The 18,397-nt window shown below is 43.4% G+C and overlaps 1 protein-coding gene and 1 long non-coding RNA gene across 22 annotated transcripts in view, besides 3 other annotated features; one reads left to right on the forward strand and one right to left on the reverse strand.

Moving 5' to 3' along the window:
* Positions 1-543, reverse strand: part of ANKRD44 (ankyrin repeat domain 44) — a 343,767-nt gene extending 343,224 nt beyond the window's left edge. For all 17 annotated transcript variants that reach the window (NR_160034.1, XR_923062.3, XM_047446287.1 and 14 more), the window contains exon 1: positions 341-543. Coding sequence is in view for 15 of the 17 variants with exons in the window: in XM_047446287.1 (XP_047302243.1) it covers positions 341-367 (27 nt within the window). In the remaining 2 variants the exon portion in view is untranslated. The remainder of the gene's footprint in view (positions 1-340) is intronic.
* Positions 19-398: a silencer, noted in NCBI's record as "silent region_12210". NCBI's record gives its function as "represses an Ori minimal core promoter by ATAC-STARR-seq in GM12878 lymphoblastoid cells {active_cell/tissue: GM12878}" and the evidence as "EXISTENCE:reporter gene assay evidence [ECO:0000049][PMID:35858748]".
* Positions 449-768: a silencer, noted in NCBI's record as "silent region_12211". NCBI's record gives its function as "represses an Ori minimal core promoter by ATAC-STARR-seq in GM12878 lymphoblastoid cells {active_cell/tissue: GM12878}" and the evidence as "EXISTENCE:reporter gene assay evidence [ECO:0000049][PMID:35858748]".
* Positions 779-858: a silencer, noted in NCBI's record as "silent region_12212". NCBI's record gives its function as "represses an Ori minimal core promoter by ATAC-STARR-seq in GM12878 lymphoblastoid cells {active_cell/tissue: GM12878}" and the evidence as "EXISTENCE:reporter gene assay evidence [ECO:0000049][PMID:35858748]".
* ANKRD44-DT (ANKRD44 divergent transcript) lies at positions 829-8,643 on the forward strand. 5 transcript variants are annotated; one of them, XR_923750.3, is made up of 4 exons: positions 829-2,461; positions 3,952-4,080; positions 4,232-4,247; positions 8,400-8,643. It is a non-coding gene; the product is annotated as an ANKRD44 divergent transcript (long non-coding RNA). The 5 variants fall into 5 exon arrangements; XR_001739847.2 differs by lacking the exon at positions 8,400-8,643 and having other exon boundaries at positions 829-1,370; positions 2,267-2,461; positions 4,232-4,426; XR_923749.3 differs by lacking the exon at positions 4,232-4,247.
* Positions 8,644-18,397: the final 9,754 nt, after the last annotated feature.

Consider the following 18,397-nt stretch of genomic DNA (forward strand, 5'->3'; position numbering starts at 1 on the left):
ACGCGGCGCGGTGCGAGTCCCGAGAGCACCTCGAGCCCCCGGCCCCCTCCCCAGCCCCGCCGGGCCCGCGGCCGCCGCACTCCCGCACGCCGGCTGCCCAGCGCCCACGGGCCCTGCCCCAGACTCGGGCGCGCAGTTCCGACGGCCCAGGGCGGGGACGGCGCGGCGGAGGGGAGCTGCCGCCGCGGGCTCTCGGAGGCACCGGCGGCCGCACACAGTCCTCCCCTTCGCCGCGAGTAAACAGCTCGCGGGCGCGCTCCAGCCGCGCCCCCATCCCCCCGCCGGGCTCCGCGCCGCCCCGCGCCCGCGCGTCCCGCCCGCCGGCGCCGCCGCCCGCTACCTGGTCGGTGAGTTTGAGCACTGCCATTCTTCCGCTCCTTCGCGCGCACACACATGCAGGTCCCCGGCCCGCAGATGTCACGCCGGGAGCCGGGGAAGCGGAAGGGATTGCCAGGAGAAGGGAAAAAATCTGGCTCCCGAATTTGACAGCCCTCCCCCTGCTCCTCCTCCGCCGCCGCCTCCTCCCGCCGAGAGGCTGACACTGGCTAGTGGGGTTTGCAGCCGAGCCCGCCCGCCTTTCCACAGGAAGTACCGGCTGCTGCCAGCCGGGCCGCCACTGACATCACCGCGCGCTGGCTCGCTCGCCGCCCGCCGCCTGGGCCGACGCTGCCTCCTGCCGCCCGCAGCCGAGCCGCGCAGCCCGGCCCCCGGCGCTGCCCCCGCGCCCGCACCGGGCCGCCGCCTGCCTTCCGCACCTGCACGCGGCGCCCGGCCGGGCCGGCCCCGGGCCCTGGGCGGATCGCGGGCCTCCCTGACGGGTCTCACACATATGGGTGGGGAAGCCCGCGGGGACACACCCCGAGGGGGCAGGAAAGGCTCTCACTCACATGCCGTCCACTTTAACCGGGGAGATGGGGTTACGCCCCCTTCCCCTAACCCAGAATCAGGTGGTGGCAGCGCCCCGAAGATCCCAGGGACCGCAATTATGATGCTCCCTTTGTTTAATGCCAGGAGGCAGCGGACACATTGTGATTCTTTACAGGGTGTTTGCCAAACATTTATGGGTGGAGGGAACAGAAGCTCTGGCCCTTCCACCTTGTTCTCCAGCCACTTTCCAGCTAAACACACACACACATATGCACACACACATACTATTGTTAAATTCAAACACCCTGGGTTTGGTTTTTGCTGGTGGGGGTGGAGTGGAGTTCCTGGAGAAGCAAAGCAGTCCTAAATCACCGAGTTGATGGGTCTTTTGGGTGTTCCCACCAGTCCTTACTGATCTCTACAAAATCCCAAGTTACCAAGCTCTTCAACAAATAGAAGACAGCTGTCAAACACCATGGGCTACAGATACAACGGGCATATTCGTAAGCATAGTAGCTGTTGATAGTTCTGGAATTTGGAGCAAACACTTATTCATTGAACAGCTATGTACTGAGTCCCTACCTTGTCAGGCACTGGCTAGGCACGGGAATAAACGGAGAGCATAAATAAGATAACCTGCTCTCAGAAGATGCCAACATAAACCGCATAGTCTCTGCTAATGAATGTAATTACAAACTGAGATAAGGGATCTCAAGGGAAAACATGCTTCTGAAGTGAACCCACAACAAAGGAATCAGACCAGACTGGTGGGTGAGGGCAGGCTTCCCTGAGAAAGTGACAGGAGTTGAGATCTGGAGAAGGGAGAATTAAGTAAGCAAGTGGAGAGGAAGTGCTCCCAGGCAGCCCCATGTGCCCCTGGCAGGCCATAGAGCAAACCTGTAGGGCAGCATTGAACAGCTTTGAAGAGCAAACTAGAGCTACAGAATTCTTTGGTCAAGACCAAACATCTGCCTCTACTGTATATTCACAAACCAAATGTCCATTCTTCCTCCCTACTCTTAGAACCTCCCCCAAAGATTCCACATGAGACAGGAGAGAAAGGAGCATTAATATCCTCACATTTACCATCCAGCCACTCTGGTTGTCGAAGCAGCTAAATCTCAAATTTACCTTTATTAGTCTTATAGATTATAATTCAGATCATGCAGACAAGAAGAACCAAGGAACTTTGTTCCTGGCTTCCACTCCTCTGTTATCAATGTTGCATGGAAACAAACAAACAAAAAATTCTAAGGCCTTTCTCAGACATACAACAGATTGTTTATGTTGCATCTATGAGTCAGTTCTTCACTGCTGTTATTGGTATGTCTATTTACTGAACACCCTGCATGGCTTTGTAAGTAAACTGAATAGGACCCTGCATTCTCTACTTAAATAGAGCCATCTTTCAGAAGAGTGATAACAAATGACTTAATTTGGAAGATTCACTCAAGATCCAATTTGATTCATCGCGGACATGCCTGCACCTAAGTTCCTGGGGCCAAAGTGAGGAGGCAGCAGTTCTCCACCCAATCAGACCATCATCCTCTTTTTGTAACTAGTATCTTTAACACTCCCCTTACTATCCTGAAAGGTAATTTGTGGATAATATTACCTACCAATACAAATTTCAAAAAAAAAAAAACCAGCAACAATATATTGTCCTAATTGTACAATAAAGGAAAAATTAAAGGAGAGTAATTTATAATGAATATGTATTTCAGTAGGTAAGTGGTAAAACACAACTCTCTTTGTCTTCTGACAAAACAAAGCAGTAAGATGCTTCCACCTATATGGAGAGGCTTTGTGAATGAGAGAATTACAAATGCAGACAGATGTGAACATATAGTGTTAGGAATTCAAATATCAAGATTGGTGTTGTCATAGGTGACCTGACTTTGTGAAAGGTTGAACAACTCGTGGCCAAGTTCCAAATAAAATAGGGAGCAGAAGATTTGGCAAAATTTATTGATAAGACTACACTTATCAGAAGGTCTGCTTTTAATGTGTTAGCCAGTACTTTGACAGTGATTCAAACACTTTGTTTACTTCATTAAATGAGACTCAGACTCAGCAGTTGACTATATTCGGTGAGCTTGAGAAGCCAGAATGCCCCTGGTATAATGTAGAGAAAGAAATCCAAAGATTTGTGGAGATGGGAATGTTGGAATAATTTTATCATGTATAATCTGTACAGCCAACCCCTACATATTCCTGGAGAGCCAGATGATGATCTTTATACTGAAGCATTGAAAAATACAGGCCAGGCACCATGGCTTATGCCTATAATCCCAGCACTTTGGGAGGCTGAAGCAGGTGGATCACCTGAGGTCAGGAGTTCCAGACCAGCCTGGCTAACATGGTGAAACCCCGTCTCTACTAAAAATACAAAAAATTAGCCAGGCGTGGTGGCATGCACCTGTAGTTCCAGCTACTTGGGAGGCTGAGTCACGAGAGTCGCTTGAACCCAGGAGGCAGAGGTTGCACTGAGCCAATGACGCGCCATTGCACTCCAGCCTGGGCAACAAAGCAAGACTCTGTCAAAAAGAAAAAAAAAGAAAAGGAAAGAAAAATACATTCGAGAGAGAACGTCAGAAAAACTCTCTAGTAGCTGGATATGATGGTGGGAGATGCTTTCGTTGAGATGGCTCCTTGATTTTTATATTAGTGGGATCCTGCGACAGCAATGGCCAAGTGGCAGCACTTAGCTGGCAGAGACAAGGTGGACACATTTACTGTAATGGACAGCAGAGACAAAGTAGTACTTAAAGGTCTTAACCTACAGGTATATCTGGCAGTGCCCTAGGTTGTCCTAGGAATGAAATAGACGGGCAGACTTTGGAAATAGCCATTGATCTTTATAACAGACAAAACTCTACATCTGCCACCTGAAAGCTCCCTTGAGCCATCAAAATGAAATTATCTTTCATTCAGTTTCCGTACCTAAATGAGTTCACAGACACAGAGCTCCTTGATTAAAAGGGAAGCTGGTCCCCTTCAGGAGGGTCTTGCAGCATTGTCATAAATATATACTACAAATCCTCATCCAAGCCTTATCCAAAGGAACCTGATGTATTTTTCTAGGCTGAGCGAGTACTGGGAAAAAGGAAATACCCAGACATTTGAGGGATCACTGACACTGCTTCTGAATTAATGCTAATTCCTGAGGATTGCAAACACCACTGGATCCACCAATCAAAATGGGGATCTATGGTAGGTGATAAATGAAATTTTTAACTAAGTATAAATCAGTGTGGATCCAGTAGCTCTGCAGACCCAAACTATAGTTATCTCCTCAACTGTTAGTTAGAATAGACATACTCAGTAACTAACAGAATCCTAACATCATTTCTCTGACCCACAGAGTGAAGTTTATTATGGTAAGACAGGCCAAATGGAAGCCTCTGGAATTTCCTCTTGATACCAGAATAGAAAACCAACAACAATGCTCAATCCCTGGAAATATGTAGAAATTGGTACCACCAGAAAAGACGTAGAAGATACAGGAATGATAATACTGTCACATCTCCATTTAACTCACCTGTTGGGCCTATGCAAAAGATCTTAGAGAATAACTATGATTTGTTATTAAGTTGTAAACTTAATCAAATGGTAATGTCAGTTGCAGCTGCTATTCTATATATGCTGTCTTTACCGCAACAAAGCAACTCAGCCCTAGGCACCTGGTGTGCACTATTGATATGGCAAATGCTTTTTATCTATTTCAATTTTCACCAAAAGTTGTTTTCTTTTATATGGCAAGATCAACAGTACACCTTTACAGTCTTCTCTAGGGGATGTAAACACTCCCACTCTCTGGCATAATCTCATCTGCACAGGTCTTGATCACTATGTTAAAGACATCGAGCTGACTGGCCCTGATAAACAGGAAGTAACAAATATTTTAGCTGCCTTAACAACACACATGTGAGCCAGAGATTGGGTATAAACCCCAAGAAAATTCATCACCTTAGTGAAGTTTCTGGAGGTCCAGTGGTCTAGAAAACACCAGGATATTCTCCCCAACGTAAAAGACAAATTACTTCACCTTGTACCATCTACCACTAAGAAAAGAGACACAATACTTTCTGGGTATCCTTGGATTTTAGAGGCAATATGTATCACATCTGAGTGTGATGCTGTGACCCATTTATAGAGCAACCCATAAGGCTGGAATTTTTTATTAGGAATAAGGGGAGAAGAAATATCTGTAGCAGGACTTGATGACCCAGAGGAATCCAATGATACTTAAAGTGTCTGTGGCAAATAAGGATGCTATATAGAGCCTCTGGTGAGCCCTGATTAGATCTACAATGCAGAATTCCTTAGTTGTAGAGCAAGTCATGCCCTCTTCTGCAGATAACAATTTTCTATTTGAGGAATGGTCCCTAGCTTGCTAAGTGAATTTGAATGACTGGCCATGAGACAATCAAGTGACTGCAAGCTCAGCTGCCCATTATGAACTGAGTGTAATCTAATCTACCAATCCATAAGACCAGACATACACAAGAGGAATTCCTCATCAAATGGAAATGGTATGTAAGAGACTGAGCTTAAGCAGGTCCAGAAAGCACAAGTTGCCTTAGCAGGTAGCTCAGATTCCTTTGATACTTACTCCTGGTGCCTCCTTATCTTCAACTTCATGGGGAATTTCTTAAGACCAGTTAACTGATTTACAGACAGTTCTCCTAAATATACTGGCACAAGCTGGAAGTGGTCTATTCCAGCATCACAGTCTCAATAAGGAATGCCCCCGATGACAGTACTGAAGGGAAATTTTCTCAGTGCAAGAAATTTCCAGCAGCGCACCTAGGGTCTACTTTGTCTGGATTGAGAGAGACGGTCAAAGGTATAGATCTACACTCATTCACAGGCAATTATTGATGGTTTTGCTGAATGGTCAGCAACTTGGAAAGATGAGGTGGTCCGGGAAAGAGGTTTGTGGGTGCACCTTTCAGAATAGGCACAAAGTGTGAGGAATTTGTGTGCCATGTGAATGCTCACCACAGAGCATCTACTCTGAGAAGGCTTTTAGTAATTAGGTGAATGACACATTCGGTGGAGTGGGCCTCTTTCTCCACCTATTGCAGTGCTTGCTCAAAGTAGCCATGGAGTCAGGAATAAAGACTATGTTTGGGCTTCAAATCTTAGGCTTCTCTGCAGTAAGGCTGATATCTGACAACATCAGAAATCACACATTGAGAGGCACCATTTCCAAGGGAGACTAGTCAGCCATGTGGTAGCAAATTGATTATTTTGGAACCCTTCCTTCATGGAGGGAACAGTTACTTGTCTTCACTAGAGTAGACACATATTGTGGATATGAATTTGTTTTCTTTTCCTTTCTTGTTTTTTTTTTTTTTTTCAGGTAGGGTCTTGCTCTGTTGCCCAGGCTGGAGTGCAGTGGCGTGATCTCAGCTCACTGCAATCACTGCCTCCCAGATTCAAGCGATTCTCGCACCTCAGCATCCTGCATAGCTGGGATCACAGGAGTGTGCCACTACGCCCAGCTAATTTTTGTACTTTTAGTAGAGACAGGGTTTCATCATGTTGACTAGGCTGGTCTCAACCCCTGGCCTCAAGTGATCCACCCATCTCAGCCTCCCAAAGTGCTAGGATTATAGGTGTAAGCCTCCATGCCCAGCTGATATGGATTTGTGCCCAGCGAGTGTTTCTTTTCTTTTTGGAGATGGAGTCTGGCTCTGTTGCCCAGGCTGGAGTGCAGTAGCATGATCTCGGCTCATTGCAACCTCCACCTCCGGGGTTCAAGTGATTCTCCTGCCTCAGCCTCCAAAGTAGCTGGAACTACAGGCATGCGCCACCACACCTGGCTAATTTTTACATTTTTAGTAGAGATGGGGTTTCACCATGTTGACCAGGCTGGTCTCAGAACTCCTCACCTTAGGTAATCTGCCTGCTCCGCCTCCCAAAGTGCGGGAATTACAGGCATAAGCCACCATGCCCGGCCCAGAGAGTGTTTCTGACAGAACTACCATCCATGACTTATGTTGTATCTTACTCACTGTTATATAGTCTACACAATATTACTTCTTTCTGAGGAACTCATCTCATGGCAAAAGAAATGCAGCAAAGGACTCATGTAAATGGAATTTACCAGTCTTATCAATACCTCATCAGCCAGAAGCAGCTCACCTGGAAGGATGATGGAGTTCTACTGAAGACTGAGTTCCAGCACCAGCTGGGAAACACCACACTAACATAGTGAAGTTACCTCTTGGAGGACACAGAAAATGCTTTGAGTCAGGAGTCAGTACATAGTACTGCTTCCCCCAAAATACAAGGTCCAAGAATCAAGGGTGGGGCTGGGAGGGAGAAGGGAGTGGTGGTTGTAGTAGAAGTGGTTCTTTTCATCATTACACCCAATAATCCACTCATACAGTTTTTGCTTCCAGTGCCTGTTTTGCTTTGAGCTCTGCTGGTTTGGGGGTGTTGCTTCCCAAGGGAGGGTTCCCACCAGGGATCACAATTATGGTTTCATTGAATTAGAAGCTAAGACTGGGATGTGTCCACTTTCGGTTCCACATGCTATGGAAACAACAGGAAAAGCAGGGGTTACCTTTCTGGGTGGGGTTACTGATTCCCATTATCAAGAGGAAATTGGTTTGCTACAACACAGTGGGAACAGGGAGGACGATGGGGACAGGGAGGACGATTGGGACAGGAAGGACTATGTTCTGGATTTTCTGTGGTACCCCTTAGCACTTCCATATCCTATAATAAAAGTTGATGGAAGCTACTATAATTTTTTAAAAGGATTAAAAAATGGATTCAGACCCTTCAGGAGTGAAGATATGAAGAGAAGAAAAGGGCCTCTCTTCCAAGCTTTTCGTTCTAATAACTAACCTTTTCCCATTGTTCCCAGCCCTACTGGTGGTAGCTGCTTCTTAAAGTTACTATCTCTGTGTTCCCTTTTTGTTTTTTCAGTCCTCTAACACCTATTTAAACAATTCCCCATATTAAACAGGACTATTTAAGCAATTCCTCATATTAACCCTTTTCTTGTTTAGAAACAAAAGTATAGCTGACTGGGCATGGTGGCTCATTCTTGTAATCCCAGCATTTTAGGAGGCCGAGGCGGGTGGACCACTTGGGGTCAGGAGTTCAAGACCAGCCTGGCTAACATGGTGAAACCCCATGTCTACTAAAAATACAAAAAAAAAAAAAAAAAAAAAAAATTAGCTGGGCGTGGTGGTATGCACCTGTAATCCCAGTTACTAGGGAAGCTGAGGCGGGAGAATCGTTTGAATCCAGGAGGCAGAGGTTGTGGTGAGCCGAGATCGCACCATTGCACTCTGGCCTGGGCAACAAGGGCAAAACTCCATCTCAACAACAACAACAAAACAAACAAACAAAAAAAAAAAAGTATAGCTCACTGCCTGCACTCATTTGATTTTACATAAACACGCCCTTTGAGGTTGAAGCAAATCTGATTTTCAATGTGAAAATAAAATCTAAAAACTGTTCTTGGAGTTATTTCTAAACAGAACTAACATCAAAATCATCTATTTCAGAAAAATCAGATTCATCAAGTGACTCTTCAGTCAACAACTGTTCAAGAACGCTGTTAACATCACGTGTAGGAATGCTACGTTTTCTAGAATTTGACATTTTCAGCAATCGAGAATTACTATATTTTGTAAACAGAAATGCCACTACTAGAAACAGAATGCTATAAATAGAATGACGTCTTTTGTTTTCAAGGTCAATATGTCAGAGCGATGCAAAAATAATAAAAGTGAGATATTTCATGGCAAAGTTATCTCAGGGTAAACATTGCATCCACAAGCGCTGCTGGCGCATATTCTCGGGGCAAACGGGAAAGGGTTATTTCTGTTAAAATAATGTAGGTTGAGCCAGGTGCAGTGCTCACACTTGTAATCCCAGCACTTTGGGAGGCTGAGGCTGGCGGATCACTTGAGGTCAAGAGTTCAAGACCAGCCTGGTCAACATGGTGAAACCCCATCTCTACTAAAAATACAAAAATTAGCTCCGTGTGGTGGTGGGCACCTGTAATCCCAGCTACTTGGGAGGCTGAGGCAGGAGAATCGTTTGAACCTGGGAGGTGGAGGTTGCGGTGAGCAGAGATCATGACATTGCACTCCAGCCTGGGTAACAGAGCAAGACTCCATCTCAAAAAATAATAATAATGTAGATTGTTTTCCTGACTAGATCCTGACTGATACCACAACACAGTTACATTCCTAGAATGAAAAAAATCTAAACTAAACTAAAACATTGTGTTTATATGTAAAACGGGTTAAGTTCCAGGCTAAGATAATTGCAGACAGATTTTTACCTACATGAATATCCAGTGGGACATTTGAAAGACCACTTTCCAGGACAGCTAGCATCTTTAATTTCCAATCAATAGATGCTTGGGCATTCCATTCTTTGTGACAACCAAATATGTTCTCTCAAATTTCAAAAACATTCCCTAAAGAGCAAGGCCGAGAACTGTGTACTGTAGTGACCATAGCCTATGACTTTACTAAATCTACCCAATATACCATATCACATTTCGCTATGGTTGTTTTATTTACTTGATGTATGCTTTTTTAAATTTTATAAATATAAATGTGCACGTAAATGTGTGTGTATATCTGTATATCTGTGTTTGTATTTTATATGTTTATATAAAACATATGTATTAGTCCATTCTCATGCTGCTATAAAGGACTGCCCGTGACTGGGTAGTTTATAAAGAAAAGAGATTTAATTGACTCACAGTTCCACATGGCTGGGGAGTCCTCACAATCATGGCAGAAGACAAAAGAGGAGCAAAGTCATGTTTTACATGGTGGCAGGGAAGAGAGCTTGTGTAGGGCAACTCCCCTTTATAAAACCATCAGCTCTCATGAGACATATTATCCACTATCATGAGAACAGCATGGGAAAGACCCACCCCCATGATTGAATTACCTCCCACCAGGTCCCTCCCACGATAAGAGGAAATTATAAGAGCTACAATTTAAGATGAGATTTTGGTGGGGACACACCCAAACCATATCAACATATAAACTTATGAATACACAGTATTTCACTGTCGTGGATGCTGTAGTGTGCCACCCAGTTCCCACATTCAGGACCAAAGGCTTTATGCCCCCAACTGCAGAGAGTGTTGCCTGCTGATAGCTTGAAGCTGATTCTTCCTTCAGGAATTACCCTCAGTCAGAAGCAACCACCTCACCTCATTACAGTCCCTCCCTTGAAACTATTCATATCCAGTGAATTTGAGAGTACAAAGGCCCAGCCCCTTTTGCCTCAACTAAGGACATCTCCGAAAGCACATCTTAGCTCCAACACTCCCTCTGGGATCTGCTGGGGCCTGTGCTGCAAATGCATCACAGATCAACTTCTCCTTCTACCCAGTCCTGCTCTCCTCATCCCCACCAGGGTTGTGCCTGAAAACATTCCCCAGTAAATAACCTGCATACAATTCTCCATCTCAGAGACTGTTGCCTGGAGAACCCAACCCAATATAATTATATATTTTGGCTTCACACTAGTGGCTTAGATAGTTCATCCTGTTTGTAAATAAATCAGAGCCATCTCCCTGACCTGGGTGCAAACCACAAGTAGAGGCAGATAATGATGATTGCTGCATGAGGTTAAATCCTGATGAGGCTCTGCACTCTCTTCACACGGAGACTTTTCTATTTTGAAATATTGTGCCCCTTGACTGAATGGCTAAGTTACAGAAGATCCACAGATGTCTTAGGGGTATCAAATGACCTTCACAAAACAAAACCAAGGGCCTATCAATCTAGGCTAAGGAAATTAGAACATTTCCTCAATGTAATTTTTATTAACGTATATCTGTAAGCACTGTTTATTTCTGCACCTACAATGGTTCCTGGATTCTAAACAGTCATGGAGTTTAAGTTTGTAAAATTGGTTTAAAAACAACTTTTCAGAGAGCAGAAGATGAAATTTTTCACTCCATGAAATATCCCATATTCTATGAGCCAGCACATGTAAAGCACACATAACGGAACCTGGTACAAAGTAAATGCAAGATGAAATACACCATACTCTGTGAGTCAGCACATGTAAAGCGCATGTAACAGAACCTGGTACAAAGTAAGTGCAAGATGAATGTTAGCTATTATATCTATGATATTAAAATGTGAAAAGATGACACCTTAGAATTGAAGAAATACGGTTTTTTAAATCAATATTATAAAGTTACTTTTAGTGTTGATTTGTTGAAATTTATTATCTTTATCCCAGGGAATGCCTTCCTTGGCTCTTGATCCTTATTTTCCTTGACCTGCTAACAAACTTATAAACAGTATCATTCGATTAAATATTTCATTGTTTTATTTGCTATTGATCATCTATTCTCTTTGTTTTATGGGTGTTAGCCTTCCATAATTTCACATGCTTTGTTTTTTATATGTGTTGTTTTTCTCATTATAAACTTCTAATGGGTACTAGACATGCCTTACACTTCTTTGCATGAATTCGATAAATAATGACAAACTGCTTGATTTTAAAAGCATGCAATTGGAGGCAATATTAGCTGGCAATTCTATTCAATATATACTAAGTTTTTCTGTGAATGCCTACTTGTAATCTCACCTCCTACAGAAAGTATAAAAACCAACAACAGAAAAAACAATTGAGAAATAGAACAAGTAGAAGGAGTAAGTTAGCCAGGCACAGTGGCTCACATTTGTAATCCCAGCACTTTGGGAGGCTAAGGTGGGAGGATCACTTGAGCTCAGGAACTTGAGACCAGCCTGGGCAACATGGTGAGACTCCATCTTTACCAAAAATACAAAACTTAGCAGGGCTTGGTGCAGTCCCAGCTACTTGGGAGGCTGAGGTGGGAGGATGGTTTGAGCCCAATAGGTGGAGGCTGCAGTGAACTATGATCATGCCATTGCACTCCAGCCTGGGCAACAGAACCAGACCCTGCCTCAAAAAAGAAAAAAAAAAAAAAAGAAGTAAGTTATTACAGTGCCTCCTCTGAGGCATTGCTGAAATGAATATTGTGTTTGTTCTGTATTAAAACTTCTGCATTTTACTGTGGTTTTAAAAATGTTATTCCATTTATTTTTAACTTCTTCAGACAGCTGTCCTGGAAAAAATAAAACAGTGGAAGGTGAGAAAGTAAGATTCACCATAGAATACAAAGGGATAAAGGAGGGAGGAAAGAAGAGAAGCTGCAAAGAAATGTAGATGGAAGCACCAAGCTCCTTTAAAAGAGAGAAAAACCCTGACTGGGCATTTTAGCATGCAATTATGGTCCTTAAACTTCACCAGGACACTGTAGAGTCTCAGCAACCATTCTCAACCTTCCTGCAGAAAATTGATAGCCCAAATTCACATTTTTTTATTTTATTTTATTTTTGAGACGAAGTCTCACTCTTGTCGCCCAGGCTGGAGTGCAGTGGTACAATCTTGGCTCACTGCAACCTCCGCCTTCTGGGTTCAAGTGATTCTCCTGCCTCAGCTTCCCAAGTAGCTGGGTTTATAGGTGTGCACCACCATGCCCAGCTAATTTTTGTATTTTTGGTAGAGACAGGGTTTCACCATGTTGGCCAGGCTGGTCTCAAATTTCTGTCCTCAAGTGATCTGCCCACCTCGGCCTCCCAAAGTGCTTGGATTATAGGCATGACCCACCGCACCAGGCCCAAATTCACAAAATTTAAATGCCCCTCTTTCTTCTCCTTCACAGCCAAACTTCTCAAAATAAATGTCTCTTTTTTTCTGATCTCCACTTCCTCACCTCCTCCGCCACTCCACAGGGTGCCCCTGAGCCCACTGTCCTGAAACCACAATGACTCTGATCAGTTCCACACAGGTCCATGCTGACAACACTCTGTCTTAGACCCTCATTGTTTCTCCCGACCTCCAGTCCCACCAAGCTGCCTGCTTCTCTCTCGGATGTCTCAAAATCACCTCATACTCAGCATGTCCAAAACAAAAATTAATAATCTTCCTCCTCCAGTGTTCCCCCCTCCTCGGTAAATGACACCACCCTGGACCCAGTGTTGATCTAAGAACAAATGCTGGGGCTCACACTTGGTATCTCCGTTTCCCTCTCATCTCTCACATCCTGCCAGTTACCGAGTCTTGTCAATCCACGTTCTTTAAATCTCTTGAATCTGTCCCTAACTCTGATCTTCCTGGACCTCACTCCAGGCCAGTCTCATGTTTATCTACTGATTGGAAGGCTGATAAGCATTGGTTTCTTCTGATCTATTCTCCACCCCACAGGCAGAACAATCTTCTGAAAGACAAGCCTAATCAAGCCACAACCCCTCCAATGGCTTTCCATTGCCTTCAGCCTGTTTACAAACACCTCAGCATGCATGATGTTCAGAGTCCTCACATTCCCCACCCATCATTCTTCTTGCAGAGAAGCCACATTGCTCAACTCTGGGGGATGCCATTCCCAGCCTAGTCTGTGAATGATAACTGCTGGAGTAGTGCAGTGCACAATCTGTGTGCCTAAACAGGGCAACCTTGCCTCCGTGTCACACTTTATACACTGTGCTGAAAGCAGCTCCCCGATGCATATTTCTTCTCTCTCTGAGCCTTTGCATATTGCTGTTTCCTGTTTATACTTTTACCCACCTCGATATCATTTTCTTCTGGTTAATCTTGTACTTCAGATCTCAGTTTAGATATCACTAACCCCATGAATTTTCCCTTACTCACTTCACCTCCCAAGTTTGGATTAGGAGTATCCCTAAGGTTTATGTTTAGTGCCCTCTGCTTAACCCCTATTATTGTATTTATCCCTTCATCCTATAATTGCCGGATTACTTTTCTGTCTCCCTCTTTTAGGGCATGGACTGTGTTTAATCCACCTTGATGTTTCTAGTTCATTGTATAGTATCTGGCACATAGTAGATACAGAGCAAATACTTTTGAATGAATGTAACTTTGAGTAAATAATTTAATCTCATCAAACCTTAGTTTACTACTAGTCAAATGAGGCTAAGGATGCCTGTCCTCAATACCGTGGAGAATCATATAATAAAATGTATATGAAAATGCTTTGAAAAATGGAAAGAAATACGTAAATGAGAGAGAAGGAGACTGAACAATTGGTATGGCATTATGATAATGAGAAAGTGACAAGGAATGAGATGATTTTCTGCAGAGAGAAGCAAGAGAGACACATTTCCACCCTATCATGTATAAGAACTAATGCCTGTGCTGCTGAAGTGAGTGCAAATTCTGCATCTTATTTCTGAACTAGGATGAGAAGCCAGAATGTTTCAAAAGGTGGGAAATGAGGAATGTAGTAATCAAGCTACAACTTCCGCTTATTAATTGGTCACACAACCAGTGCTGTATATTGATTTATATGTCATATACATAATATATATCAATTTTGTCACACATATTAAGATATATATGTTATTAAGATCAAGTTTCTGATATTTGTTCATTTATTTAATTAATTAATTTTTGTAAAAAAGACCAAGTTGCTGAAAATGGTGAACGAGGGGCTCAGATAGTCAAAGAATAAACACAGCCCTTCTTCCTTGGGCATCAGTTGGATTTAATGATTCGGGGAATTAAGTCACTTAACTTGGTAGGTAACTTGAAGCAGTATTTTCATATTTACATAAGCAAACAGATATAGTATGGCATGGAGTGTAACATTTGCATACATCTTTTAAATCAACCTGAGACCCCACGCATTTTGTGTTTGCAATGGACCTCTCCACACTATCTCCCTCCAATCCACCCCTCACCAAACCTTCACACTCCCAAGCTCTAGGAATAAGTCTTTATTCACTTATGCTCTTTGAGGGCCTAGGAAAAGTTTAATAAGTGTTGCTTTTAGAAGTTTGGTGACCTTCTATGCTGCTGAAATGAAACAAAAACAGAAACCTGGCTCAGGAACTCTCACAAATGTGGCTGGTACACTTATATCCAGGGTCAAGTTTATAGTTGATTATTAATTTGTGGGTCTGCTTTCTGTTCCTAGCTTACCCATTAAACTGTTGAACAATTTTGTAAATATTGGTCACTGGTCCCCAGAAGAATCAAAAATTTCTAAATATAGAGGAATTAGTGCTAACTGTCCACAAGAAAATAATTCCTTTTGTTTTGTTTTGTTTTGTTGAGACAGGGTCTCACTCTGTCACCCAGGCTGGAGTGCAGTGGTGCAATCTCAGCTCACTGCAACCTCCACCTCCCATATTCAAGCAATTCTCCTGACTCAGCCTCCCAAGTAGCTGAGACTACACTACAGGAGCCCGCATCAAGCCTGGCCATCAAGACTAATTTTTGTAGTTTTTTGTAGAGATGGGGTTTCACCATGTTGGCCAGGCTGGTCTTGAACTCTTGACCTCAAGTGATCCACCTGCCTTGGCATCCCAAAGTGCTGGGATTACAGGCATGAGCCACCCCACCTGGCCAGAAAGGAATGCTAAATTCATAATTCCTTGCTGTTAGGACACAGTGGCATCATAATCTTTGTATATAACGGTCAACACATTATATCTAAAGGAAGGAGAGGGGCCGGGCGCAGTGGCTCACGCCTGTAATCCCAGCACTTTGGGAAGCTGAGTTGGGCGGATCACGAGGTCAGGAGATCGAGACCATCCTGGATAACACGGTGAAACCCCGTCTCTACTAAAAATACAAAAAAATAGCCGGGCGTGGTGGCAGCTGCCTGTAGTCCCAGCTACTCAGGAGGCTGAGGCAGGAGAATGGCGTGAACCCGGGAGATGGAGTTTGCAGTGAGCCGAGATCATGCCACTGCACTCCAGCCTGGGCGACAGAGCGAGACTCCGTCTCAAAAAAATAAATAAATAAATAAAGGAAGGAGAGAAGGGAACTAACATTTATTGAGTCTCTACTATGTGCCATCCACAGTGCTAGGTGCTGTAAATTCCTCACCATCTCTCCCTCACCACCCCAGACACAGTTAATCCTTTGTACAATGTCTATACCTGATATAAGCACTTCTATTGGACTTTCCACTTTAAACAACAATGAGTTGTCTGTTTCCCACTCTAGTGTAGACTCTTCGAGGGCCAGGCTCATTTTAAATTCACCTTTTTATCCCAAACATACACCATACCTGATCACATAATACATCTTCAGTTAAAATTTTTATTAGCTAAACAAAAGTTACCTCTTCCAATGTTTAGGACATTGTGAAGAAGCTAGTGCATTCTTCATTCTCCAAAAGTCAGCTGCTCATTCTAAATCATCTTATACAGTTCTGTCCATTAAGGAAATGTAGAACATAGCATTATGTCAGTTTTTTGCTGTTTTCAGGTCTTGGAATATTTCCAAGTCTCTCTCCTGACCCCCAGCCAAAAAAAAAAAAAAAAAAATCATAGACTCAATCTATAACATACACTGCCATTGTTTGAATGTGTCTCCTTCAAACTTCATGTTGAAACTTAATTCCCATTGTAGTGGTATTAAGAGGTGGGGCATTTTAGGAAGTGATTAAGTTGTGTGGGCTGTACCCTCATGAATGGATTGGTGCCTTGTAAAAGAGCTGGAAGGAGCTAGTTTAGGTCTTTTCTTGCCCTTCAGCCTTCTGCCATGTGAGGACATGGTATCGCCCCATCTGCCATGGGAGAATGCAGCAAGAAGGCCCTTACCAAACAACAAATGGCTGCATCTTGCCCTTGGACTCCCCAACTTCCAGAACTGTAAGAAATCAATTTCTATTGTTTACACATTACCCCATGCAAACAGCTAAAATGTGTACCATACACACTTTTTGTTTTCTTTACAAAGCACCTTTTTCAATAACATAATAGGTACTCTGTGAAATACATTTTTTTTTTTGAGACCGAATCTCTCTCTGTTGCCCAGGCTGGAGTGCAATGGTGCGATCTCAGCTCACTGCAACCTCTGCCTCCTGGGTTCAAGCAATTCTCTTGTCTCAGCCTCCCAAGCAGCTGAGACTACAGGTGCACGTCACCACGCCCGGCTAATTTTTGTATTTTTAGTAGAGACAGGGTTTCACCATATTGATCAGGCTGGTCTCGAACTCCTGACGTTAGGTGATCCACCTGCTTCAGCCTCCCAAAGTGTTGGGATTACAGACGTGAGCCACTGTGCTCAGCCAAAATAAGTCTCTAAAGTAAATTATTAAGTGTAAATGTCCCCAGTTTCAGTGGCTTTAACCAATGACAGACAACAAGACTGAAATCACACTGCTTATAGAGGATTAAATATCCTCTGATTCTGAAATACCAAGTCTGAACTTCTGAGTCTGTAACCACAAGATGATTTTTCTTCCTCCCCAAATTTAAAGTAATCAAAACATGGAAATTTCTTCCTCTCATCATTGCACTTTAGAGTGTATGAGAAGTGTGTACCATATACATACACATACACACACATGAGCATAGAAGAGGAAAAATAATTAGAAAGTAGGGGACTAGTCAACACTCTGATTTAGAACCAGCTCAACTTTATGATTTCAAAAGTTTTGAACCTAATCCAACTCCTCTGAAATTCAAAGTTACTTGACATTTGGTATATTGTGACTTCCTGTTTTTGTAAAAGAACATTTTCAAAAATGGTTCAATGAGCTCTTTGGACAGTCTCTAACTCCTATAATGCAAGATTTGGAACATTTGGTGGTAAGTAAATAAGGAACATATGCAATATATTTTTTAAGATGTGCATATTTTCCAAAACTCAGGGGGAAAAATACTTGGCCAAGTCTATCTGTGGTTTCATTGAATACTTGAAAATTAGTTAATGACATTCAGAGACACAAAGATACAGCTGGGTTTTTCCATCCAGTCTGTGGAACATGTAGCTGTCAACCAGCAATGATAGAACCCATAGGAAAGCACCCTCAATTTCTGTAGAAACAGGAAAGAATTAAGATTTACTGTCTGGCACTTTGGTGGTTGGATGTAGCATTTGCAAGGAAATTAAGAACAAAGCAAAAGAGTCCCGAAATGTGCTTGCATGTTTCACATTTACTCTTTCTCTGCTGTGTAACTGCCAGTGCATGGCCCATGGTGAAAAATAAGCTGGCAAATATAAAATCCACCAAATAGTCTCTGGTAAGTCTTTAGGAGTACTGCAAGGTCTACAATAGATCTTACTGACATGCAAAAACTTTAAGTGAAAAAACTCTTAGAATGCTGCAGGTAGGGATATGGAGCCCTAATTCCTCAAGCCCCAAGAGCCTAAGGTTACATTAACAATTAAACCCAAATATGTTCCTGGCTATGAGCTCCCTACCTCCACTCCAGACCCTAAGTGATGCTAGAAAGTCATAAGGGTGTCTCACAAGTGTTGAGGAATAAATCAACACTAGGAACTGCTACTCTCCCTCAGGGATTTGCTGGGAACCTACTGAGTCTGCTGAGCCCCTGCAACCCCTTGCCATCCCGTTGTCTTGCCACTGTTCTGCTGAAGCTCAGAGAAAAGATATTCTCTTCATAATAGTCATCAGTGCTGCCAAACCTGTAAAAATCTTTGATATGCTGAGTGACATTGCTAACCCTTCAGGCCACATAGGGCCAATGCTATGCGCTGGTCCATGCAGAAA

The sequence above is a fragment of the Homo sapiens genome, chromosome 2, assembly GCF_000001405.40.
Source record: "Homo sapiens chromosome 2, GRCh38.p14 Primary Assembly".
NCBI classification, from domain to species: Eukaryota; Metazoa; Chordata; class Mammalia; order Primates; family Hominidae; genus Homo; species Homo sapiens.